The 27,697-nt window shown below is 38.1% G+C and overlaps 1 protein-coding gene across 2 annotated transcripts in view; it reads left to right on the top strand.

Annotated features, from left to right (window-relative positions):
• COPG2 (coat protein complex I subunit gamma 2) overlaps nucleotides 1–27,697 on the top strand; it is a 162,511-nt gene that overhangs the window by 35,820 nt on the left and 98,994 nt on the right. For both annotated transcript variants that reach the window (NM_012133.6, NM_001290033.2), the window contains exons 6-9: nucleotides 15,864–15,939; nucleotides 19,293–19,385; nucleotides 20,691–20,777; nucleotides 21,819–21,976. In NM_012133.6, the coding sequence (NP_036265.3) occupies nucleotides 15,864–15,939; nucleotides 19,293–19,385; nucleotides 20,691–20,777; nucleotides 21,819–21,976 (414 nt within the window). The remainder of the gene's footprint in view (nucleotides 1–15,863; nucleotides 15,940–19,292; nucleotides 19,386–20,690; nucleotides 20,778–21,818; nucleotides 21,977–27,697) is intronic.

Genomic DNA, 27,697 nt, shown 5'->3' with positions numbered 1-27,697 from the left:
ATCACACACCGGGGCCTGTCTCGGGGTGGGGGGCTAGAGGAGGGATATCATTAGGAGAAGTACCTAATGTAGATGACAGGTTGATGGGTGCAGCAAACCACCGTGGCACATGTATACCTGTGTAACAAACCTGCATGTTCCGCACATGTATCCCAGAACTTAAAGTATAATAATAATAAAAAAAATCATTGGTTCATCTCAGTAGCAGAATGGAGATGTCAGAGGAACAGGTTAGTGAATTTAAAGATAAACCAGTAGAAATAAATCCCAACTGAAAAGAGAGAGAGAAAAAAGAAAACAAAAATAAACAGCCTCACTGGCCTGTGAGACTGTATCAAAGGGCCTAACATTTGTGACATTGAAGTCCCTGAAGAAGAGGAGAAAGGTATTGGTGCGAAAAAAAAATTTGAGAAAATAATGACTGAAAACTTACAAATTTGGAGAAAGATAAATTTACAGACTCAAGAAACTAAGTGAAACTTAGACAAGGTAAATTCAAAGGACTCTGCTCTCAGTCACTTAATGAAACTGCTGAACACCAAAGATGAGGAAAACTGTTGAAAGCACCAAGAGGAACATGATTCATTACATATACACATCACTGTGGGTTTCTCATCAGAAAATCTGGAAGTCTAAAAACAGTGGAACACCAACTTTAAAGTGCTGAAAGAAAGGAAGTGATGACTCAGAATACCATATCCACTGAAAATATCTTCCAGGAATGAAGGTGAAATAAAGACTTCCTCAGATGTAGGTAAACTAAAAGGTATTTGTCACCAGCAGACCTGCTCTACAGTAAATATTATAGTAAATGAAGTTTTTTCAGGCTGAAGGGAGATGACACTAGATTGATCCCACCAAAACAACATATGGATAGTACTTAAAGAAAACAACAACAGCTGAAAACAACTGTCAATCCAGAATTCGATTTCCAGTGAAAATAACTTTCAAAAGTGAAGGTGATAAAAAGGCAATTTCAGACTTAAAAACCGCTGAAAGAATTTATCTCTGACAGAGTCACATTAATTATAAAAGGGATTTTTTTCACCAGGATGAAAATGATAATGAAGATATGGATCTATGCAAAGAAATGAAGAATACTGGAAATGTTAAACTGAGTAGATAAACAAGAAATTTTCCTTGTTTACGTAATTTTAAAAGTTAATTGACTGCTTAAAGAAAAGAATTTAGTATGGAGTTTATAACATATGTAAAATAAAATCTGTGACAAAAATAGCATGAGGCAAAGAAGAGAAATGGTACTTTATTACTATAAAGTTTGTATCCTCTTTATGAAGTGTTTTAGCACTTGAAGAAAATCTAATAGGTTAAAGATTTACTGTATAAAGCCACCACTAAAATAACAATGCAGAATTATAGCTAATAAGCCAACAAAAGAGTTAAATAGAATCATAACATATATTCCACCCAAAAGAAGGTTGGGGAGGAAAAGAAAAGGGAACAAAATTCAGGCCAGGTGCAGTGGCTCACACCTGTAATCCCAGCACACTGGGAGACCGAGGCAGGTGGATCGCCTGAGGTCAGGAGTTGGAGACCAGCCTGGCCAACATGGCGAAACCCCATCTCTACTAAGAATACAAAAATTAGCCAGGTGTGATGGCACGTGCCTGTAATCCCAGTTACTCGGAGAATCATTTGAACCTGGGAGGCGGAGGTTGCAGTGAGCCCAGATGATGCCACTGCACTCCAGCCTGGGTGACAGAGCAAGTCTCCATCTCAAAAAAAAAAAAAAAAAGAAAAGAAAAAGAAAAGGGAACAAAAACCAGATGAGATGAATGGAAAAGAAATAGCAAGATGACAGACTCCAACCCAACCATATCAATAATTACATTAAAGGCACCTATTCTAAACACTTCAATTAAAAGGGAAAGATGGCTAGATTGGATTTTTTTTAAGAGATGGGGTCACTCAGTGCAGTGACATGATCATAGCTCACTGCATCTTTAAACCCCTGGGCTCAAGCGGTCCTCCCAAGTAGTTGGAACTACAGGCATTAGCCACTGTGCCCAGCTCAGATTGGATTTCTTAAAAAAGCCAAATCCAACTTTATGCTGCCTATAAAAACATACCTTAAATATAAAGAAACAAATAGATTAGAAGTAAAAAGATGAAGCAAGATATACCATGCTAACTGTAATCACAAGAAGCTGTATGTCTTCAGATAATGTAGACTCCAGAATAAATAATATTACTAGGGATAAAGGGGTCAGCTTACCAAGAGGACAAAGTAATATTGTTTATGGAGCTAATAACAGAGTTTCACAGTGCTTGAAACAAAAATTGGTAGAATTGAAAGGAGAAATCAACAGATCCACAATTAAAGCTGGAAATTTCAGTACTCATCTCTCAAAAACATAGAGCAAGTATACAGAAAAATTATTAAGGAAAAACAATTTGAACAAGAAAACTGAGACTCTTTGCTGATGACATTGTCTATGTAGAAAATTTGTGGAATCCAACAAAAGCTACAGGAAGTAATAAGTGAGCTTAGCAAATTTGCAGAATACAAGATCAATATGCAAAAATCAATTATGTTGTATATACTTGCCAAGAGCAGTTGTAAGTTGCAATTAATCCTGTTTACAGTAGCATCAAAATATGAAATACTTTGGGGTGAATCTGATGAAAGATGTATAAGATATATAGACTAAAAACTACAAAACATTGGTGATAGAAATTAAATAAGACCTAAATAGGGGCCGGGTGCGGTGGCTCAAACCTGTAATCCCAGCACTTTGGGAGGCCAAGGCAGGTGGATCATGAAGTCAAGAGATCGAGACCATCCTGGCCAACATGGTGAAACCCCATCTCTACTAAAAATACAAAAATTAGGTATGGTGGCGCGTGTCTGTAATCCCAGTACTTGGGAGGCTGAGGCGAGAGAATCACTTGAACCCGGGAGGCAGAGGTTGCAGTGAGCCGAGATTGCGCCATTGCACTACAGCCTGGGCGACAAGAGCGAAACTCTGTCTGAAAAAAAAAAAAGGAAAGGAAAGAAAGAAACAAAATGCTAGTAATTAAAAACAGTAGCAGAGATGAAGATTGCTTTCAGATTCATTCGTAGACTTAACACAGCCAAAGAAAGAATAAATGTACCTGAAGATAGGTCTATAAAAATGCCTAAACTGACACACAAGAAGACTTCCTAAAAAAGAATTTCAAGAGCTGAGAGAATATCAAACAGACTAGCATATGTAGAATTCCAGGAGAAGGGCTAGGCGTGGTGGCGCAAACTTGTAATCCCAGCACTTTGGGAGGCCGAGGTGGGTGGATCACCTGAGGTCAGGAGTTTGAGACCAGCCTGGCCAACTTGGCAAAACCCCCTCTCTATTAAAGATACAAAAAATTAGCCAGGCATGGTGGCATGTGCCTGTAGTCCCAGCTACTCGGGAGGCTGAGGCAGGAGAATTGCTTGAACCCGGGAGGCAGAGGTTGCAGTGAGCCGAGATCACACCACTGCATTCCAGCCTGTATGACAGAGTGAAACTCTGTCTCAAAAAAAAAAAAATGATAATAATAATAAAATTCCAGAAGGAGAAAGGAGAGAGAAAGCATTTGAGGTAATAATGGCCATTTTTTTCCCCAAAATTAATTACAGACAACAAAATGCATGTCCAGAAAGCTCAAAGAACACCACATGGGACACATACACATACCTCTAGGCATATCAGTGAAACTGCCAAAAAGAAAATTTAAATAGAAAATTTTAAAGGTACCCCCCCCAAAAAAGGACAAAACATTATACAAATAGAAACAGATTATAGTAGACTGTTTTTTTCAGAAAACATGCAAGCTAGAAGACAATGTTGTGTCAACTGATAATTTTATACCCAGTGAGACTATCTTTAAAAGGTGATAGAAAAGTAAAGACTTACTAATTTATGAGACAGCATCTTGCTCTGTTGTCCAGGTTGGAGTGCAGTGGCATGACTCCTGTGCTCAAGCAGTCTTCCTATCTCAGCCTCCTGAGTAGCTAGGACTACAGGCGAACACTACTATGCCTGACTAATTTTTTATTTTTGTTTTTGTAGAAAGAGGTCTCATTACGATGCTCAGACTGGTCTTGAACTTCTGGCATCAAGTGATCCTCCTGCCTCGGCCTCCCAAAGTGCTGGGATTACTGGGATGAGCCACTGTGCCCAGCCTAAAGACTTTCTTACACAACAAAAACTGATAATTTATTGGTAGCTGTCTTACTCTGCAAGAAATGTTAAAGGATATTCTTCAGATAGAAGGAATATGATACCAAGCAGAAACTTGGAGCTACACAAAAAGAACACTGGAAACAAGCCAGGGCAAAATCACATTCACTTTTTTCTTTTTGAAAAATTATTCTGGACAATAGCTGTATGTCTAAAACAAAAAATAGTAGTGTAATGTGTTTAAAGCATATATAAAAATATATTAGAACAATTGCACAAAGAATAGAAGGAAAGTATTGGGAATATACCCTTGAGAGGTTCTTATTCTAGCCATGAAGTGATACTCTTAGTTATTAAGTAAAGATATAAACCCTGGGGCAACAACTAAAAAAAATTTAAAGAAGTATAAACAATAAACTAGTAAAGGAAGTAAAATGGAATAATAAAAATAGTTGGTACCAAAGTTATTAAAGGAAAAAAGTGTTCAGTTAACCCAAACTCAGGCAGAAAGGGGGCGGGGGTAGAGGAGATGGGCAGAGAAACAAAGACCAGATGGAACAAATATAAAACTAGCCAGACCACAGACTGATTTGAGGAATAATAAAACTGTAGTCTCCTGCAAAACAACAACAAAAACAAAAACAGAAAACAAACTAACAAGACCACAGATTTCAATCCAGTCATAATCAGTAATTATATTAATAATGGATTGTCTAAACACACCAGTTGAATGACATGTATGGACTTCTCGTTAGTTGAAGACAATGAAGGCTGTATACTAATCAATGACTCAAAATCTCCCTAAATGATAAGAAACAATTTTACAACTACAGTTGTTCTTGGTAAAACTACATCCTCAGAGTTATTTCAGTTCAGAGAATACTGAAAAGTATGAAACCACTTTGAGTAAAAAGAAAAACTGCCAAATGCCAGTATGGTAATTCCTCATCCCTCCCCTGAACCGCACCCCGCCCCCCGAACCACACCCCCCACCCCCCGCATCCCCAAAGTCTTTGGGGCAAGCAGTGGCCAACCACTAAGGTTGTAGATAGATAGAAGAGGGAGGTTAGCAACCACCAGGCAGGAACAACAACTAGAAAGATTAAAGTTGTTGCTGTGGGTAGTGACTATCTGGGGCTGGTGTCATGAAGACGGTAAAAAGAATTGCCCAAGATGGGTGTAGGTAAAGAAAGACGGATTCTTTAAAAAAGTGGAAACATGTTGCTAGGGTGCAATGGCCCAGTCAGCAAGAGTGGAGCTGACTTCAGGGAGACAAAGGCTTGCCTGGGATTTTATAGGATGGTGCTCTTGCTGTGCTGAAGAGGGCTTTGTGCAGTACTGATAACACCAAGGTTGCAGTTAGCTAACTTGCATTTTTCTATTAGCTGATGGTCTAGTGATAAGTTGGGCATAGGAAGATTGTGAATTATTTGTGCAGGAGGGCTATGTGTCCTAGACCATGAAGAAAGGCCGACTTACAGCTTATCTGCGTTCTCTTTTTGCTTTTCCTTGGTCCTGCCAGCCTGACTTCTTTTCCCTGATTAGGACTCCACAGTTGTAATTCAGAAAATACTAAAAAGTTAGTGGGGAAGATAAGAGCATTTACTATAGGAAACGGATTTCAAAGTGTACTTGATTTAAAGATTTAAGCACAATAGAAAAGCCTGGGCAACATGGTGAAACCTCATCTCTACCAAATAAGGAAAATACGTAAATTACGTGGGCATGGTGGGCATGCTTGTGGTCCCAGCTACTCAGGAGGCTGAGATGAGAGAATTGCTTGAGCCTGGGAGGTGGAGGTTTGCCATGAGCCAGTATCGTGCTACTGCACTCCAGCCTTGGCAACAGAGCGACCCTGTCTCAGAGGCTAGACATACAATTTAAAGAGAAATACTCAACATAAAAGGGCAAATGTAATTTAAAAGGACCACCACAACATAAAGGGACAGTGTTCCAAACATACACTTCTCCAGGAGAAAAAAGGCAAAAAGGAAAAAAGAAGTGCCTTTTGGCAATCAGGTGTCAATGGGAAAAGGAAGGAAAGGTGGATATTTAGGGTCTTTCAAGGTCTAAGTGTAAGAGTTAAAGAAAGAGGAAAGAAACATGAAAAGCAGCTCAACAGTCAAAGATAGGTTTATTTTGGAGAATAAACATGAGAGGGACTTCTGGCCGATTTCGTTCAGGAGCGCTCTCTCTTATAGACTAAGAGTATTCATTAGCCAGGCATGGTGGCTCACGCCTGTAATCCCAGCACTTTGGGAGGCCGAGTTGGGTGGATCATGAGGTCAGGTGTTCGAGACCAGCCTGGCTAACAAAGTGAAATCCTGTCTCTACTAAAAAATAGAAAAAAAAAAAAAAAAAAAAATTAGCCTGGTGTGGTGGCAGGCACTCGGGAGGCTGACATCTCTCTGGCCCGAGGGGAAGTTGTCTCGGGGCTGGCATGTCTCTGGTCAGGGAGGGGTTTATTTTATGGTTGGAATGTTTCTGGTTGGAGATGTCATTTGTGATTTATGGTCATGCTGAATTTGGGGGAAAAAAGGCAAATCACTACATAACTACATATCAGAATCTATAGACTATATAGCACTGCAAGATGACTGTAGTTAACAGTTATTTATTATGTATTTTCAAATAGCTCAGAGAGGATTTTGAATGTTCCCAGTAAAAGAAATGATAAATGTTTGAGGAGATGGATGTGCTAATTACCCTGATGTGATAACTATGCATTCTATGTATCAAAACATCACTGTGTACCCCATCAGTATATACAATTATTATGTGTCAGTTAAAAATAAATTATTAAATCTATATGGTGAATTAAAGGAGTGATCAAAGAAAAACTCATTGCAGTAAATACCTTTTATCAATGAAAAGGAAGGAATAAAAAGTGAATTAAATTCTTAGCTCAAAAAAACTAGGTAAAGAACAACAAAGTAATTCAAAAGAAAGCATATGATAGGAATTAGTATAGATAAAAACAGAAATTAATGAGGAAAAAATAGAAAAACATATCTAATTATTAAATCAAAATCCTATTTTTGAAAAAATTAACAATATAAATAAACCCGTAAGCTAAGTTGGTAAAAAAAAAAACGGAGAAAGCATAAATATGCAAAATAAATGACAAGGGAGAAACAGAAGAAATGTAAAAATCAAAAGACAAATTTGTAGTCTTTGAAATAAATTTGAAACCTAGATTTAATGGATAATTTTTTAGGCAAATACAGCTTGTCAAAAATGACCCCCTTTTTTTTTTAATGGGGAAACACTAGAGGCATTTCCACTAAGATCAGGAACCACAGCAAGGATGTTCATTATCTTCACTGCTATTCAACATTGTGCTGGAGGTATTTAGCAATGCAGTTAGGCAAGAGAAACCAAGTTGAAACATAAGAATGAGTTAACAAAGAAGTAAAGCTATCTGTTTTTAGATGATGTGATTGAATACCTAGGAACCCCAGATAATCAGTAATAAAATGAACTCAATAATTTAGTGGGACAGCAGGATATAAAATTCATATATAATAATCAATAGTCTTCTTATTTCTCAAAAGAAGATATACAGACAGCCAACAAACATATGAAAAAATGCCCAACATCACTAATCATCTAGGAAAAGCAAATTAAAACCACAATGAGATACCACTTTATTTCTGCCAGAATGGCCGTAATTAAAAAGTCAAAAAACAATAGATGTTGGCATAGATGTGATAAAAAGGGAACATTATTACACTGCTGATGGGAATGTAAATTAGTACAACCACTATGGAAAACAGTATAGAGATTCTTTAAAGAGTTAAAAGTAGAACTGCCATTCGACCCAGCAATCCCACTACTGGGTATCTACTCGAAGGAAAAGAAGTCATTATATGAAAAAGACACATGCACATGCATGTTTATAACAGCACAGTTCACAATTGCAAAGACGTGGAACCAACCTAAGTGCCCATCAGTCAACAAGTAGATTAAGAAAATGTAGTATGTATATACACCATGGAATACAGCCATAAAAAGGAACAAAAGAATGTCTTTTGCAGCAACTTGGATGGAACTGGAGGCCATTATTCTAAGTCAAGTAACTTGAATGGAAAACCAAGTATCGTATGTTTAACTTACAGGTGGGAGCTAAGCTACAAGGACACAAAGGCAAAAGAATGACATAATGGACTTTGGGGCTTGGAAGAGGGGAAGGTTAGGAGGGGGTGAGGGATAAAAGACTACATATTGGGTACCGTGTACACTGCTTGGGTGATGGGTGCACTAAAATCTCAGAAATCACCACTAAAGAACTTATCTATGTAACCAAAAACCACCTGTACCCCTAAAACTATTGAAATAAAAAAGTAAAAAAAATCAATAGTCTTCATAGAAACAGCACATAGAGGACATAATAGTAGATAGAACCCCATTTACAACAACAACCAAAAAGATTAAACACTCAGGAATACATTTGACAATAAATGTACAAAACTTAGAAAAAATATTAAGCCCCTTACTCTTGTCTGAATGTTTGTGTCCCCCCAAGTATGTATTTTCAATTCCTAACCTCCAAGTTCATGGTGTTGGGAAGTGAGGCCTTTGGGGGTGATTAGATTATGAGGATGGAGCCCTTGGGATTGGAATTAGTGCCCTTATGAAAAGACTGCAGAGAGCTAGCTAGTCTCTTCTACCATGTGAAGACACAGCTAGAAGAGATGCCATCTGAACCAGGAAACAGGACCTTGCCAGTCACCAGATTTGCCAGTATCTTGATCTGGGACTTCCTAGACTCCAGAATTATGAAAAATAAATGTTTATTGTTTATAAGAAACCTAGTCTGTAATATTTTGTTATAGCAGCCCAAATAGACTAAGATATTCCTGAAAGACTCAAAGTATACTTAAACAAATATAAAGATACCTTGTTTTTTGAAAAAAAAAATTGTTTTATTTTTCAATTTTTTTCCTTGAGACAAGGTCTCATTATGTTGCCCAGGCTGTCCTCAAACTCCTGGCTCAAGCAATCCTCCCACCTCAGCCTTCTGAGTAGCTGGGGCCGTAGCATGCACCACCATGCCCAGAGTTATTGCCTGTTTTTTAATAGGCCAACTCAATGTTATAAAAATTTTATTCCTCCCTAAACTAATTTATAAATTCAATGGAATCCCAATGAAAATACCAACAGGAGTTAGGCAGGTTGGTACTAAAGTTCACGTGGAAAATATAATGTAAGAATAGCTGGGAAGTCACTGAAAAAGGAAAACCATGAGGGATTGGGTAGAGGGGAGAGGAAGCTAGCTCTACTAGTCAGTAAATCTAAGGCGTGTACAATTAAAACAGCATGGTACTGGCACATGAACAGACTAACAGACCGTGGAATAAAATTGTGTGGTGACTCTATAATGTGGTCACCTTGGTCAGACTGATCTATGTTTTTCAGATACAATCTGATACAAATGGAAAGTACAGAATTAGACCCATGGAATAGACTAAGACAGCATCCCATCTGTACCCCAAATGTGAATTAGAGACCCTGGTTCCTGGGGCCAGTGTTTTTCAGGTGTGAAAAGACAGAAGCATTTAACTCATTGGCCCTTGATTCCTGTTGGTTGAGGATTATCTTTAGCACAGAAATACCCCACACTTCAGGATTATATATTTCTGAGTGACACGTTGGCAACCACAGGCAGCTGACACTCCCATGTCAGAGAAGTCAGGGCCACAAACTGAGCCAGTTTGCATATTTGGAATGATGATCACTGTTAGGTCACTTTGGATTCTTCATTCTAGTGAAGGTAAGGAAAGTGCTACCGTACTCATAGAGGTCATTGACCTTGATTCCTGTCAGGAGCTAGGATCATTTCTGTATAATGGTGGCAGAAAGGACTCTGTCTAGAATTCATGGTATTCCCTTGAGTATATTTTGGTGCTTTCTTGCCTCTGACAGTGGTGGTAGGGGTAGAGAACAATCAGTGGTTCAATCAGGGTGCACCCAACACAGGGCTTACATCCTTTGGGATAAAGGTTTGAGTCAACTATTGGAGAAGTAGCCAAAACCAGGTAAAGTGCTGGCCAGTGGGGAAGGAAATGTAGAATGGGTGGTTTTAGGAAGGAGATGATGAATATCAATTATGGCCTTGGAATTAGTTGTAGCAGCAAGGATTGAACTATGTTCCACTCACCTTCCTTTATTTAGTCTTTTGTAGAAATAGTGATTGCTACCGTCTTGAAGCCTCCATGATAGATTAGACTTAATGGAGGACATGAACAAATTTGAGGGATGGAAAGGGTAGACTGTATTGGACACCTCTTTTGAGCCACTTCACATGGTCTCAGGCCTTATCTGTGATTCCAGCTGTGGCATCATGAGCAAGTCTTTTGGGGCTCAGCTCACTGGCATTGTTACTGCCTTACTTCAGGTATGCACTGAGTGTTTTTTGCCTACTCAGATTCACTTGCAGCTCACGTGTATACTCCCCAGAAGTATGGGGGAATTAATACTCTGGGGTTAACGTTCAGCCAGGGGCTAACAGTTAGTGGTTCTGAGATGTATTTCATAAGGCTCCTCGGAAGATTGCTCATTAAATAACCAGTGGCCAGCATCAGTGACCCACTCAAGGAAAGGTCTTTATATTGTTTTTACCTCCTTCCCTGTTCATTTCCCTGTCATTCACTTCACCGTCTGAACACCTTCCTAAATAAACTACCTTTATGCAAGCCTTTGCTGTCAGGACAGCCAAAGCTATGACAGAGGTATAGAACATGGGTTGACAAGCTATGGTACATGGCCAAAACCATGTAAATAAAGTTTTTTTGTTGTCTTTTTTTTTTTTTTTTTTTTTTTGAGATGGAGTCTCGCTCTGTCTCCCAGGGTGGAGTACAGTGGCATGATCTTGGCTCACTGCAACCTCCATCTCCTGGGTTCCAGTGACTCTCCCACCTCAGCCTCCCGAGTAGCTGGGATTATAGGTGTGGGCTGCCACACCCAGCTAATTTTTTGTGTTTTTAGTAGAGACGGGGTTTCACTATGTTGGCCAGGCTGGTCGCGAACTCCTGACCTTGTTATTCACCCGCTTCGGCCTCCCAAAGTGCTGGGATTACAGGTGTGAGCCACCGCGTCTGGCCAGTTTTTTATATTTTTAGTAGAGACGAGGTTTCACCACGTTGGTCAGGCTGGTCTTGAACCCCTGACCTCAAGTGATCCACCCGCCTTGGCCTCCCAAAATGCTGGGATTACAGGCGTGAGCACCGTGCCCAGCTGTAAATAAAGTTTTGTTGGAACACAGCCACACTATTTCTTAATGTATTGTGTATAACTGCCTTTGTGCTGCAGCTACAGAATTGAGTAGTTGTGAGGAGATCATATAACCTGTAAAGTCTAAAATATTTACAGAATAAATGTGCCATTCCTGTGCATTGATTTCCCAGTGCTGCTGGAACAAGTTACCACAAACTTAGTAACTTAAAAAATCTGGTGGCTTAAAACAACACAAATTCTTTTACAGTTCTGGAGGCTAGAAGTCTAAAATCAGTTTCACCGGTTTGATGTCAGAAGTATAGGCAGAGCAGGTTCCTTCTGCAGGCTCTAGGGCAAAATCTGTTTTCTTGCCTTTTCTAGCTTCTGGAGGCTACTTGCATTCCTCGAATCCTAGCTCCCCTTTCCCATCATTCCAGTCTCTTGATTCGTTGTCACATATGCTTCCTGTGTCAAATCTCCCTCTGCCTTGCTCTTATGGGGACACTTGTGATTACATTTAGGACTCACCCAAATAATTCAATATAATTTCCCCATCTCAGTGTCTTTAACTTAATCACATCTGCAAAGTACCTTTTGCCATATAAAGTGCATTTAAGGATCTAGGGAGTAGGACTTTGATGTCTTTGGGGGCTGTTGTTTAGCTTACCACAGGCTTCTGTCTGGTCCCTAAAGATTTACATCCATCCTACATGCAAAACACATTCACCATATTGTAAAAATCTTCCAAAATCTAAACCCATTGCATTAACTCAGGTCTAAAATCTCGTTAAATATTATAACTCAAAAGTCCCAAATCTCATAATCTAATCATCTAACTCCAGTATAGGTGAGTTTCTGGGTATGATTCATCCCAAGACAGAATTCCTCTTTATCTATGGACCTGTGAAACTAGCAAACAAGTTATGTGCTGCTAAAATACTGTGGTGGGACAGGCATAGAATAACAATTATATACATTCCCATTCAGAAAGGGAGACAATGAGAGGAAAGAAAAGAGTCACTAGCACCAGACAATTTTTAAATTTAATCAGGTAAACTTTTAGGTTTCAAGGGTTGGGAATAGTCCCTGTGGCACCCAGCTCCACTCTATGGGCCAGAGGGTTGTGTATGTATTGTGTATGGCTGTTTTTATGTTACAGCAACCAAATCAAGTGGTTATGGGGTAGTCATATAGCCTGCAAAGCCTGAAATATTTACTAGATTGTTCCCTGTCAGAATGTATGCTTGTTGAGGGCAGGAGTCTTTGTGTCTTTTGCTTGCTAAAGTATCCTAAGTGTCTGGAACAGTGTCTGACACTTAACAGACACTCATTGAAATGCTGAACTAAAAGAAAAAAATTTAAGCAATTTAATAGAGATGAGAGGGCAAAACTTTTGACATTGCTGAAGTAGTAACCCTATTTATAGATAAAACATTAAAAAAGAGAACTTTTAAAAACATAGCTACGTATTAAAATAAATCTACATATTAAAATAGCATACTGTATTCCAATAAAAATTGTAACAGAATGACTGACACCAACATGCATCTTGGTTAACTTGTACTGTGGAGAGAAACAAGTAATTTTTAAGACTTCTGGCAGAAAAAGCTAGTCATTTAAAAGTGAGAAAAACTAAGTCCGACTTCAGCCATTCATGGCAGTTTTCAGTGTCAGAAAAGAATGGGGACAGTATCTGCAAAGTTTTAAGAAACAGAACATGTGATACAAGAATAATACAGCTAAGCGAATTGTCATTCAAGTACAGGGACAACAAGCAGACTTCCACACTGGAAAGAATTCAGGGACCATAACACCTGTGAGCTTTTCTTGAAAAATAAAATTAAGCATTGAAGTTATATTAAATCAAAAGAGTGAATTCTGTAATAGAGGGGCTACAGGAAATGAATTACCAGTGAGCATTGAATGTATTCAATTATAGAAGTAGGGTTAAACTACTGTAGAAATTATGATTAAAGATAGAATGTAAATGTTATAATCCATGATAATACAAAAAGAATAATACTAACAAAAATTTGGAGATACACGGGAGGGCAGATGAGAGAGGAGAAAGCTTACGTGCATTAATTTTTTTGCTTTCATAGCTTAACTCTTTTATCTAAAGTTTTATGGCAGCGACAAAAAGAACTAGAATGTAAATCTCCCATATTTCAGAGAGAAAACACATTCACTTAGGAAAACAAAAGACACTCTTACATCTGTATTGTCCAATAAGATAGCCATTAGATACATATGGCTATTATAGTGAACATTAATTGAACTTTTGTAAAATTGAAAATTCAGTTCATTAGTCACACTAGCTATATTTCAAGTGCTCATTAGACACATTTAGCTTGTGGCTACTATGCTGAATGATGGAACATTTTCCATCATTGAAAAAAGTTCTGTTGGATAACACTGCCTTATAGGAAACAAAGAAAGTACTAAAAATAGAGATGTAACACAAAACAAATTCATAGAATTAACACCAGACATTGCCTATTAAAAGAAATACAGATTAGTTTAAAAATAAAATACAGCTAACTATATGCTACATATTGTGATGTATATAAAACAAGGCAAAGCAAAATTTGAATATAAAAGGAGGGGTGAAAGCATATAAGGCAAACACTACTGAAAGGAAGCTTGGGTGAAGGTATTAATAATTAGAAAATTGAATTAAATGCAAAAAGTTTTGAAGGAGACAAGAATGAGGTACTTTATCCAAAATGAGGAGGAACTGTCATGAATTATTTATTAATGTAACACCAAAGTACATAAGCCAAAAATCACAAAAAATGTAAATAGAAACAAAATAGTATCAGCCTTTGTTTTAAAAAGAAGGAAAAACCTAAGGGTAAAAAAGATATGAATAATATACTTGATACAGATTGATTAATACTTATGAAAACCTTACCTTTATAATAGAAAAGTCACCTTTATAAGTATTCATGGAACACTTACAAATTATTCAGCATTCAGCCCCTGAAAACCTGTTAATTCTAGAATGTGGAAATATAGTAGAGACTTATTCTGTCATTACAATGCAATCAAATGATACATTTATTTTGAGAAGAAAATGAACAGATAGTACCCAGATATGTCAAAATGGAAAAATAAAAAGAAAACCTCAACTTTTGGGACAGTATATAAGTAAAAATTGAAATTACAGAATATTTTTAAAATCTAATGATGAAAACCTATGAGTTCAACTAAAGCTATGGTCAGAGGAAAATTCATAGTCCTTGGCACTTAAATTACTGAACGAGTGTATTGTTCAGGGCTCCCCATTGCTGGCAGTAGAATCTAGTTCATAGATCCTCTTGGAAATCCGGAAAACCAAGCTTGCATCTGACAGAGCCAGAAAGAGTGCATCAGGGAAAAATGCCCACGCTACAAAATTTTTTAAGTGCAGGACACTTCCAAAAAAAGTCTTTTTTTTTTTTTTTTTTTGAGACAGGGTCTCACTCTGTCACCCAGGTTGGAGTACAGTGGTGCCATCTCAGCTCACTGCAACCTCTGCCTCCTGGGTTCAAGCAGTCCTCCCACCTCAACCTCCCAAGTAGCTGAGACTACAGGCACACCCCACAACACCAGTCTAATTTTTGTATTATCTGTAGAGATGGGGTTTAGTCATGTTTCCCAGGCTGGTCTTGCACTCCTGAGCTCAAGTAATCCTCCCACCTTGACCTCCCAAAGTGCTGGGATTACAGACATGAGCCACCACACCTGGCCAAATTGCTTTCCTAATTGAAAAAGAAATGAAGGACTATCAGTCAAAACTTCTTCCTCTTGGTTTCCTAATGGAGGGAGTCAGAGTTGTAGACCATTTTGGATTATGTGAGAGGAGTTGAGGAAGTGGAGAGATTGATAGCAGTAGTATAAATGCATGGGGAGCTAAAGAAGGGAGGGTAAAAGGTTAAAAACCTCTTTAAAGCATGGACATGGAATTTTGTAGCTAGTTCACACCTCTGCCTGTTTTTGAAGCTCAGCAGAAAGGTCTGAAGCCATTGATAATTTTAGAAAGCCATGCCAAAGAGAGATACCTCTTGAGTTAATTATTTTTGTTAATTTATTTTTAAAAGTTATGTCTAGTCTGATGGGATTTTAGGATTTGGGGGTATGTCAGACTAGGACGCTTTATACCATTGTCCTTAGTTTATCTTTTATGCTAATTATCAGTATCTAAAATTATGGGGAAGGGGTTGTTTTGTTTACGTGATTATCTTTCTTCCTCCCAGAATGATAAGTTCCATGAAGGCAAAGGACTTTTTGCTTTTTACTAATTTTGCTCATTGCTTTATTCTTGAATTAGAACAGTCTTCTACGCAGTAGTCTTAGCACATATACAAAGAATATGCTCCATAAATATTTGTTGAATTAGTAGCTGCATTAAGATAATTATGGGACAATTGGAAATTGGCTAGGGGTGAACTCCATGGGAGAGATTTTAATTGATCTTATGTTAACCAATTTGATTTTTCTTAGTCTGACTAAAGACATGACTGGAAAAGAAGATGTATACCGAGGCCCGGCCATCAGAGCTCTCTGCAGGATCACCGATGTAAGTTATCTGTTTCACTGAGTTACCAAATGGAACACTATGTTTATCTGCAGGTGGCCATGTAGATTTAGTAGGATTTCCTAGTCTGACTTTGTGAATTTTCAGTATAAGAGAAACATGATCACCAGAAAGGCTTTTGTGGCTCCAGGCTTTCTTTTGTCTTCAGATTTTTTTCCTTTATTTATGTTAGTCCATTTTCTCTCTTTATTTGCCCCCTTGAACTGTTGTAGTGAGGGTACATTGCTTGCAGGAAACAAAAACCCATTCAAATTTATCTTAAAAAGCTTTATTATAGGACACAAATCTCAGAATTTGAGGTGAAGCTTATAGGTAGACACCAGGGCAAGAAATTGGGCAGCTTTAAGAATTCAACAGCAGATTTTTTTTCTTTTTCTTTTTTGAGTCGGAGTCTCGTGCTTTCGCCCAGGCTGGAGTGCAGTGGCACGATCTTGGCTCACTGCAACCTCCGCCTCCCGGGTTCAAGTAATTCTCCTGCCTCAGCCTCCTGAGTAGCTGGGATTTGAGGCACCCACCACCACACCTGGCTAATTTTTTTTTTTGTAGCAGTTTGAACAAACTGAAAACTTTATTCTTCTGTGTGAGCTGAACTCAAGTTTCAGAATAATCATCGCCATGTGGGAGGCTTTTTGTTAAAATGCAGAAGAAATCTCAAAATACTGTATTTATATCTGCCTTCCACTGCTGCCAATATAGTAAGCATCTCCTACACAATCAACAATAAACAGCAAATGATGCAGTTCATAGAGTATTTTGCACTTGGAAAAAAATATATATCTGAATTGTAAAAAGAAGTGTTTGGATTTTGTATGTCTTTTTTATTATTGTTAAAATACTAAATGAAACTTCTCAGCCTGGCATCTTTTCCTCTATCTCAATAGCTTATCCTAGAGCCAGAAAAAGCCTTGAGGAGACAATGTCTTCTGGCTTCCAGATAAAACTTATCCAAATTTTTTGGCAACTCATCCCTAATGATTTTAAAATTTGAAAAGGCTTGTCTTTTTGTCTATCCTTAAAAGCAATATCAAGTATTATGTCCTAAGGGGGATCTAAGGAGTGGGGGAAATTTATTGTTCCTCCTCACCACAGTACAGTCCACAACCACTGGCTGGCCCACAGGTGGCTCAGCACTTCCCTAGTCAGGGTGTCCCACCTCTAGGAAAGCGCCAGCACTGAAGGTCACCCAGTGTCATTCTTTGTATGCAGTACACTCTTGGCCACCAAACAGTATTGTGAAATACAGATCATTCAGCCGCTACCACCATCACTACTCCTACAGGGCACAAGAAAGCAATCTCCAATCTCTTTTATAAATAAACAGTCCTAACTTCTAGGCTCAGAGATGATAGATAAAACTTAGCTGTTGCAATTATATAATTCCCTGACATGAAATTTTATTGGATTTAATATCTACATGATATAGCCATTTAAGAGTATAACTTGAGGAAAAAGGAAAGATCTACCTGATCAAAAAACTTGTTGGGGTGGCCTATCAGAATCTTAAACTTCCCCTTTAGCATCTATAACGAAGACATAGATGAAGTGCATTCATTCCATAATTACTGAGCTCCTATTATATGCCAGGCACTGAGCACCTGCTCATCAGCTCATTGACAATAGCCATGCTCAAGATCCACACTCCTCATATAACTTTCTGATTATAATTGATCTTCCCAGATAAGATTTCCCCAACAGGAGCGATAATCCAGTTCACTTGGTGGCTATAAGTATAAAAGAATGCACTGGCATTCTGTTATGTACATAACTTCCTATGAGTTTGATTTAATGTGACAAAACATGAATACCTTTGTGTGAACTGACAAAATCCACTTCTAGAACTGCAAAGCCAAGGACCGTATCCATGACCTTCATGCTACACCAACTTGGAGCCATCCTTTTTGACTTCTCTCATAACTCACTTCTATTCCAAGAACAACAAGTCTTCCTCCTTACTTCCTAGGACATTTGCTTTGGTGTCTCAAAATAATGGATAGTCAGGGACATTGGAGTTTGGATATGCCTATATTAAGAAGTCTTCCAAGTGGGGTAAATGAAGATTTTCCTAGGGTATGGTAAGACTGCAAGGAATACCCAGGCAATATCCTCAAATCTGTCTGAGGAGAGTTTTAAAGGAATAAATTTCCAGATCTTCAACTTCCCTATGAAATATTTTCTAAAACCAGGCCGATGCCCAGCTAATTTTTGTATTTTTAGTAGAAACAGGGTTTCACCATGTTGGCCAGGCTATTCACTGTGGTGATCCATCATGTACTAGACACAGGCCCTCTTATTGAAACATTTAAGAGAGAGAATCTGATTAGTCAGCAATAGGCCAGTAGCTTATATCCACCTGTGTCTGAGTCAGGTGTTTAACATTGATCCAGTTCATTATATCTGGAGGGATGAGATCATGTAGTATGTTAGGCTGTCTCTTTCTGGGAACTCTGAGTAGGAAGGGTAGGCCAGGCATTACCAAGCAAATTGAATAATAGCTATATACCCATGCTTGGGTATATTTTAGGTGTATGTTTGTAACCTTCTTAAGTTGTAAAGGTTGAGCAGGACCAAATTATACATCTGATAAATCTGGATTCTAGAAGGAGTAATAGAAATGCTTTAATATTTTTTGGTGCACTGTTGTTCTGTTGTGATTGTTTTTTATTTTTTGCATTACATTGGTAGCAGCGTGAGACTTGACCATGCTAGTGCTAGCAATAAAACTCTTTTTTTCATCTGAATATTGCTCTCAGTCTTTTTACTCATCTTTATCTGCCACCACCTTCCCAGTGCTTTTTCCCAGTTAAAGTTAAAAAGAACTGTATTTCCAGAGGATTTTATGTTGAGGGCTCACTATAGTAGTACACTACACATTTAATTCTTTATGTATCTCAGATAATCAGGGATTACGTTTGATTTCTAGGACTCTCTGGGATCTGTATATAATATGTGCCCTTCACATAGAGGAATCTTCATAACTTCAAAAGCAGGCTCCATCTCCATATAGGAATTTCTTTATGACTTTCCTGATGGGTTCAGCCTCTGCTTGTGTATTTCTTCCAAACTGAGATTCTCCATTTTGAGACAGTTTATTTCATTGTTGAACAGTTATTCTTCTTTATATATAATCTTAAATGTTCTTTCTTAAAGCTTCAACTTCGTTGTTTGGGTTCTGCCCTTTGGGATATTATTACTATATTATCATCCTTTTAGTGCATTCTGAATATTTGCACAGAAACAAATATAAGATTGGTTTTTGAAAATTATTTTGAAGCATAAGAGTAATTTTGCATAAGCATGTTTTTCCTTAACAATTTTTTCTTTTTGAATGTTATTAGGGAACAATGTTGCAAGCCATTGAAAGATACATGAAGCAGGCCATTGTGGATAAAGTTTCCAGTGTATCCAGTTCAGCACTGGTATCTTCCCTGGTAAGTGAACAAGCAGCTTCCTAGTTCTTAAGCATGGTACAGTTTTGAGTTGCGAAAACAAAGTATCACTATGATTGTCTCACAAATGAAACAGTTAAAAATATGTATACACCTCTATTACTTTATCCAAGTGTGTTTTATCTAGAGCAGGGGTCCCCACCCCAGGGCTTCAGACCAGTACTGGTCTGTGACCTGTCAGGAACTGGGCTGCACAGCAGGTGGTGAGTGGCAGGCAAGCGAGCATTGCTGCCTGAGCTCCGCCTCCTGCCAGACCAGCAGCAGTGTGAGATTCTCATAGGAGCTCGAACCCTATTGTGAGCTGCGCATGCAGGGATCTAGGTTGCCGGCCTCATATGAGAATCTAATGCCTAATGATCTGAGGTGGAACAGTTTCATCCAAAAACTATCCCTCTGCCCTCTGTCCATGGGAAAATTGTCTTCCATAAAACCAATCCCTGGTGCCAAAAAGGTTGGAGATTGCTGATCTATAGGATCATTGAGCAATTAAAAACATAAAATGTTCGTATGTTTGAAAGGTTTTGGAAATCTGAAAGTTATGTTGTACACATAATAAAAGAGGGGTAAGTGTGGGGTATGGGACAGGAAAGAAACCTAGGACCCTTTTCTTTCATTTAAAATCTTCTTTATGACCTGCCTTTATGACTTCTACTACTTGTCTCTTTGTCCTCTGCTTTTTCTGGTGCCCTTTGTCTACGTGTATCCTTCAATCCAAAGTTTCCTGTCCCACTTCTGAATTTCCTCCCAGGAAGTGGTCTTTTTTTTAGTAATACATTTTTCTTTCCGTTTTTCAGCAGAACACAATTTATACATTAAAACCTATCACATTGCATTTGATTAACGTCAGTTACCTATATGTGAATGTGTAAGACATCTAAATACAAGAGTTCCTGATTCTGGAATATAATTGGCTGAGTTTTATAGCAGAGAATATACTAGTACTCTCTTTCTTCCAGGGGAGTTTCCTGGAAGTAAAGCTTGTTATGATAACGTTATTTAAGCACCGTTCTGTTGACTGTCCATCCCTATCCTGTTCTTCCTCTTTCATTACTTCCTTTTACACACCTCTCCCAGCTTACATATACTCACCTTTGTAACAGGTATGGGAGAAAATACTTCTGGTTTATCAGTTGCTCCAGGAGTAAAGACACAAAATAGACTTATAAGAGCTACATAGTTTTCTTCCTCTTGGGAAATGTCTGTGATTTTCAAAGAAAACTAACTCATGTTTCTAAGCTTCTAGTGACCAAGCATTATTTATTCTCATTTTTTTTTTTCTGTATTTAGCACATGATGAAGATAAGCTATGATGTGGTTAAGCGCTGGATCAATGAAGCCCAAGAAGCTGCATCAAGTGATAATATTATGGTCCAGGTATTGTCATTGAATCACATTAGCTTGTCTCAGGATCAGCATTCTTTAAACCTGTATTGTAGGGGCAGTGTATCGATTCCCTAGATAAACATTAACTAAAGGCAAATTAAGCAGCTACTAGTACGTATTCTGAAGTAGGAATCTCACTAATTATGATTACTGCCATTTGAATACTGCCCTTCAGGTGTTTCATAGAAGCTAGATGACCCTTTGTAGGAATATTTGGGAAAGATTGTTATATTCAGTAGTAGATTGAGATGCTCGTGGCAGTCTTTTATTTGAAAAATAATTTGTGTAAAAAGATAATTCCAAGTTCTGAGGCCTTGATTATAGGCATTATAAAAATCATACGGAGCAGCTTTTACTTTATGAAACTTTGAAACCATTTTGTCAAAAAGAGCTCTTTTGATATTTATTAGGTTATTCTTAAGAGGAATAAGATTAAATTCTTCACTGGAAATTGTGTGTAAAGTACCCCATTTTATTTGAGAGGGCGTTTATGCCCTCTTGATGTTTATAACTTCTATGGTAACATATTCAGTTATTAGGAAACAGAGTAGTCATTTTTCCCTTGGGAAACACTCTCATTCTCCTGACTCTGATCATGTGTTTTTATACAAAGTGTCAAGATGATGACACTCTTGTAGCCTGCTTTAGGAGATTAATCCTTTAATTACTAAGATGGCCACAGATGATGTAAAGCCACTCGTAGAGACAGATAGCACCAGTAAAGCCCTGGACCCGAGAGCGTGTGTACTGAGGATGTGTGAGCCAGTGTTGAGCCTGCTAGAGCCATCTTCAGGTTGTATGTCACCTCCTTTATGCCTGCCAGTCTGAATTGACAGCTTCTAGGGGTAAATTAGAAACGTTTAATCTTTTCAGTCTTGCCTGTGTTTAGTTCAGTGTGAAAAAAATATTTGTGTACATGTGACCTGGGTATTTTAAAGAAATCTTTAATCTAGTTCCGTGTAATTCTATTTTTGTGTAAATATTTTGACATCTTTCTAATCCATGTGCTACCTTCTTTTTCATGTTCTTTAGTACCATGCATTGGGAGTCCTGTATCACCTTAGAAAGAATGATCGACTTGCTGTTTCCAAGATGTTGAATAAGTTTACTAAATCTGGTCTCAAGTCACAGTTTGCTTACTGCATGCTGATCCGAATTGCCAGTCGCTTACTAAAAGAAACTGAGGATGGGTAAGTGTCTTCACCTAAACCTGGGTTATTTTCCATTTGCGAAGTTAATATACCTTAGAGTTTATTTCCTTTTTGAATTTTTTTTGGGGCAGTGCTAACTTTACAGATGAGTTCAATGTTTTTCAATTTTTTAAAAAAATTATGGAATTTCAAGTCACACTTTTTTTAACCTTACTGTATGCTCTTGTATATGTACTTAATTATTAATAGCACATTAACAAACTGATATTGAACAAAAAATATATGCATTGATCATAAGATATATAGATAATTAAATATGAAAGTTGGCAGGGACATTAAGAATTATCCTATCCCTTTTATTTTTATAAAAGAGAATGTTGAAGTACTGCATTTAGTGATTTGCCTAAGATCATTCCACAAGTCTGAGGCACATAAGATGTGACCAAATATACTTTAGCAGTCTTTCGAAGGCTAGGGAAGGGCAGGAATGAGAAATCTTTTGAGGTATAGTAAGCTGGGCATGGATCTAGGGAGCAAAGAAGACCCCTTCCCCAGCCTGAAGGCTTATGGCTGAGCTCTAAAACAAAGATTTCTTATGTGGCCTGGCAAACTGAGGTGTAACACAGAGAAAGATCTCTAGAATCTGCCACTACTACTAATGCCCTGCTGAAAGGGGAAACCTGATCTGTTCCTCAGATCATTTGTAAACAGCAGATAACTGAATTTAATTAAAGCTGCAGCAAAGTCCTGACCCAGATCAACTATTAGCTGCTAAAAATGAAAAAGGACCTGCACTTTTCTAATGATAAGTATTAGTTACATCAGTGTCTACTGCACCTTTATAAGCAGTGTCTAGCAAACAATCAAAAAATACAGAGGCAGTGACATGTAACCCATAAACAAGAGGGAAAAAAATAGTCAGTAGAAGCTGACTTACAGATGACCCACATATAGAAATTAGGAGGCAGTGACTTTAGAAATTACTAGGCAGTGACTTTTAAACAACTTCTCTAAAGTGAACACCAAAGGAGTTTTGTAAAGTGAACTTTTGTAACTTTTGTAAATTACATCTTTCCACTAAAGAGTGGAAAAGATGGACAAAATGTGTAAATGGGTAAGGAATTCAATAGATAAATAGAAACTAGAAAAAAAATCTTGAACCAAAAAATACAATATCAAAAATAAAAATTTATTTGAAGCACTTAATAGCAGATTGGACACAGTGGAAAAAAGATTAGAGAACTTAAAGACAAGTCAATAGAAATTGTCCAAACTGAAGCATAGGGAGAAAAATAAGAAAAGAAAATAAAAGAATAGAACATCTGAAGCCTAGGGAATATATCAAAAAGTCTAATACTTGTGTAATGAGTCTCAGAAGGAAAGGAAACAGAATGGAATAGAATAAATCTTTGAAGAGATAATGGATATGTTAGTCCATTTTCATGCTGCTGATAAAGACATACCCGAGACTGGGCAATTTACAAAAGGAAGAAGTTTAATGGACTTACAATTCCACGTGGCTGGGGAAGCCTCACAATCATGGTGGAAGGCAAGGAGGAACAAGTCACGTCTTGAATGGATGGCAGCAGGCAAAGAGAGAGAGCGCTTGTGCAGGGAAACTCCCATTTTTAAAACCATCAGATCTCATGAGACTTACTGTCATGAGAACAGCATGGGAAACACTTGCCCCCATGATTCAATTACCTCCCACTTGGTCCCTCCCATAACACATGGAAATTCAAGATGAGATTTGGGTGGGGACACAGGCAAACCATATCAATGGATGAGAATTTTCCAAAATGAATGAAAGGGGCTGGGTGCGGTGGCTCATGGCTGTAATCCTAGCACTTTGGGAGGCTGAGGCAGGTGAATCGCTTGAGCTCAGGAGTTCAAGACAAGCCTGGGCAACATGACAAAACCCCATCTCTATCAGAAGAAAATACAAAAATTAGCCAGGCATGGTGACGCAGGCCTGTGGTCCCAGCTACTCAGGAGGCTGAGGTGGGAGGATCGGTTGAGCATGGGAGGCTGGGAGGCAGAGGTTACAGTGACCTGAGATGACACCACTGCACTCCAACCCGGGTGACAGAGTGAGATCCCCATCTCAAAAAATAACAACAACAAACCCAAAATGAATCCAAGATGGCCAGTGACACTCAAGTAGGATAAATAAAAACCACACCTAATCATAACCTAGTCATATATATTACAAGTAAAAAGTTGAAAACCAAAAGAGAAAGAATGAAAGAAAAGCTTGAAAGTCGCCTTTTTTTAAAAAAAAGACAAATTAGATTCATTAGATTCAGGGAAACAAAAATAAGAATCGTTGACTTCTCATTAGAAAAATGGATACGAGAGGATAATGGACATCTTAAAATTGTTGAAACAAATAACTGAAAATCTGGAGTTCTATACTCTAAAAGTATTCTTCCAAATGAAGGTGAAATTAAAACATTTTCAACCAGGAAAAAACAAAAACCCGAAAGGATTTGTGTCTGCATACCTGCATCATGAAGGATGCTAAAAGGAGTTTTTCCAGCTAAAAAGAAATGATAGTAGATGGATGCCAGGATCTTCAGGAGGAATGAAGGACAAGAGAAAGGGTAAATGTGTAGGTAAATTAAAAGGTAAATATGTAGGTAAATTATAAATATATACAATTTTTACTAAAACCAGCAGCAAATTATGGGGCTTATATATATGTAGAAGTGAAATATATGAAAATAGTAGTATAAAGGGCATGAGGGAGAAAAATGGACATTTGTAAAGTTTTTGTATCATGCAGTAGTATATTATTTGATGATACACTGTGATAAGGATGAATATTGTAATCTCTTGAGGATGAATATTATAACTAACAAAAAAATCTTTGTAAAACATATAGATCTTAAATGTCAACAGAGAAGATAAAATGGAATATTTAAAAATATTCAGTTGAGCTTCCTCCTTCCAATAATGGTGTAGCTTGGCCAGCTTAATCCTCCTGCAAATAATAATTGACATTAGTACAAAGCTATACCTTCCCAAAATGAAGATAACCCACAACAGTATGAAAATATTGGGGAGTGGTGAAAAGCAAGCAAAAACTGGAGGGAAGCAGTTGATGCCTGAAAGACAAAAGCTATACTGGGTGAAATTTGTGGGGTTTTTTTGCTATTCTCCTGAGGGCATTCTGTAATTCCTCAGTGTAGGATGACAGAAAGCTACAGTATTTCTGGACAGAGTGGTCAAAACAGTTTGAGGTTGGAAGAGTAACTGAAAACTTAGAGTGGAAAACCTGGAAAAGAGGGAGCCATAAAAGGAATGAGTCTCAAAATGAATTTTAAACTCTACAAAAATCACTGGCTGACCAACTGAACTACATATATACAGGAGAATACTCTAGGAGACCTGCCAAAAGCAGTAGTTGTAAGATAAAAGAATTGAATGGAGAATTCAGCTGCAACTCACTATGGAGGAAATAAAGTTTGGAGTTTGATCCCAGCCAAGCTTCTTGCTAAAGAAACTCCATGAGTTCTAGAGTCTTTACAGTATATCATTACAATGTTTAATAGATGGTAAAAATTGCCAGAAGTACAAAGAATTTGGAAAATGTGACTAGTAGCCAAGAGAAAAAGCAATCAATAGAAACTAACCCTGATATGATCCAGACATTGGAATTAGCAAACAAAAACTTTGTAGCATCTATTATAAATTTGTCCATGACTTTATTTATTTATTTATTTATTTATTTATTTATTTATTTATTTATGACAGTCTCTCTCACTCTGTTGTGAAGCCTGGACTGCAGTGGCGTGATCCTGGCTCACTGCAACCTCTGCCTTCCACGTTCAAGCAATCCTCTCACCTCAGCCTCCCAAGTAGCTGGGACTACAGGGATGCACCACCACACCTGGCTAATTTTTGTACTTTTTGTAGAGATGGGGTTCCGCAGTGTTGCCCAGGCCGGTCTCAAACTCCTGAGCTCAAGCAATCAATCTGCCTCAGCCTCCCAAAGTGCTGGTATTATAGGTGTGCACCACCACAGCCAGCCTTGTCCATGACTTTAATGGAAAATAGTTACCATGAATGAACAGGGGAAATGGAAACGACAAAAAGAGCTAAGTAGAAATTCTAGAGCTTAAAAATACTCTGTCAGGATTCAACCAGAGAAGTAGAACCTGGAGGATATAAATATGTAGAGATTTGTTTATTGATTATGTAATTCGGGGGCCAGCTAAGCAAATCTAAAATTCATAGGATAGGCTGTCAGGAAGGGAAGATTGCAGGGAGGCTGGAACTCAGGGGCACAGGCCAAAGTTGCTCTCCGTAGGTGAAATTTGTCATTTCACATTTTACTGTAAACAGCAAGATAAAACTGGGTCACATCTTCATTTTTGGAATTTTCCTCAAGTAAATATCCAACTTCATCGTTTACAAGTTCTGCTTCACAAATAACTACAGGGCACAAATTCACTAAGCTCTCTGCCAATACATAATAACAAGGATCTACCTTACTCAAGTTTACATTAATGTGTTTTTTACTTCCTTCTGAGCCCTCACTACAGCATCTTTTAAGTCCAAATTTCTGTAGGCAGTTCATAAGCCCTGACCAGCAGTGTCCTTAAGAACCAGATCGATTGATCTTTCTTTCTCCTTCCTTCCTTCCTTCTTCCTTCCTTCTTTCTCTTTCTTTTCTCTTTCTTTCTTTTCTTTCTCTCTCTCTTTCTTTTTCTTTCTCTTTCTCTTTCTTTCTCTCTCTCTCTCTCTCTTTCTTTTTTTTATTTATTTTAAAGTCTTGCTCTGCTGCCCAGGCTGGAGTACAGTGGCACAGTCTCAGCTCACTACAACCTCCGCTTCCTGGGTTCAAGCCATTCATATGCCTCAGCCTCTTGAGTAGCTGGAACTATAGGCATCCCAGCACTTTGGGAAGCTGAGGTGGGTGGATCATTTAAGATCAGATTTCTTATAAGTCTCTTCAAAACTAGGCTTCCTCCATCATGCTCCTCAAAATTCTTCCAAGCTTCCACCCAGTGCCTAATTCCAGTCAGTTCTACAATTTGAGGTATTTGTCGCAGTAACACTTCACTTACAGGTACCAAAATCTGTTAGTTTTTTTTATTGTTGCCATAACAAATTACCATTAAATGTAATGGCTTACAACAAGATCCATTTATTATCTCAGATCTGTAGATTAGAAGTCTGACACAGGCCTCATGGGGCTAAAGTGAAGATGTTGGTGGAGTGCTGTTGCTTACTGGAGGCTTTGAGGAAGAATCCACTTCCAATCTCATTTAAGTCGTTGGCCAAATTCATTTCCTTGAGACTGTAGGTTGTAGGTCTCTGTTTCCTTGCTGGCTTTCAGCTGGAGGTTAGTCTGTGCCTCTAGAGGTTGCCTGTATTCCTTCTCATGCTTTCAATGAGCAACTAAAGGCCTCTCTTTGAGTCCCTTGCATGTTGATTCATACGTGTCAGAGCCAGCAATAGTGTGTTGAGCTGCACTTTGAATCTCTCTGATTTGCCTTTCTGCCACATTTCTTCTGCCTCCTCTTTCAGCACATCTGCTTTAAAGTGCTCATGTGATTAGATTGCACCTACCTGGGTAATTTAGGTGACAATCTTAATTATATCAGCACAGTTCCTTTGCCATGTTGTAACGTAACATATTCATCAGTTCTAGGAATGAAGACATAGACATCTTTGGGGAGCCATTCTGCCCCAGCAAGTGCAATAACTGAATCAGATAATTTGCTGAATGGACTTAACAGCAGATTAGAGATG

The sequence above is a fragment of the Homo sapiens genome, chromosome 7 (assembly GCF_000001405.40).
Source record: "Homo sapiens chromosome 7, GRCh38.p14 Primary Assembly".
NCBI classification, from domain to species: Eukaryota; Metazoa; Chordata; class Mammalia; order Primates; family Hominidae; genus Homo; species Homo sapiens.
Note: the sequence above shows the minus strand (reverse complement) of the source record. Positions and strands in the feature narration are given on the sequence as shown.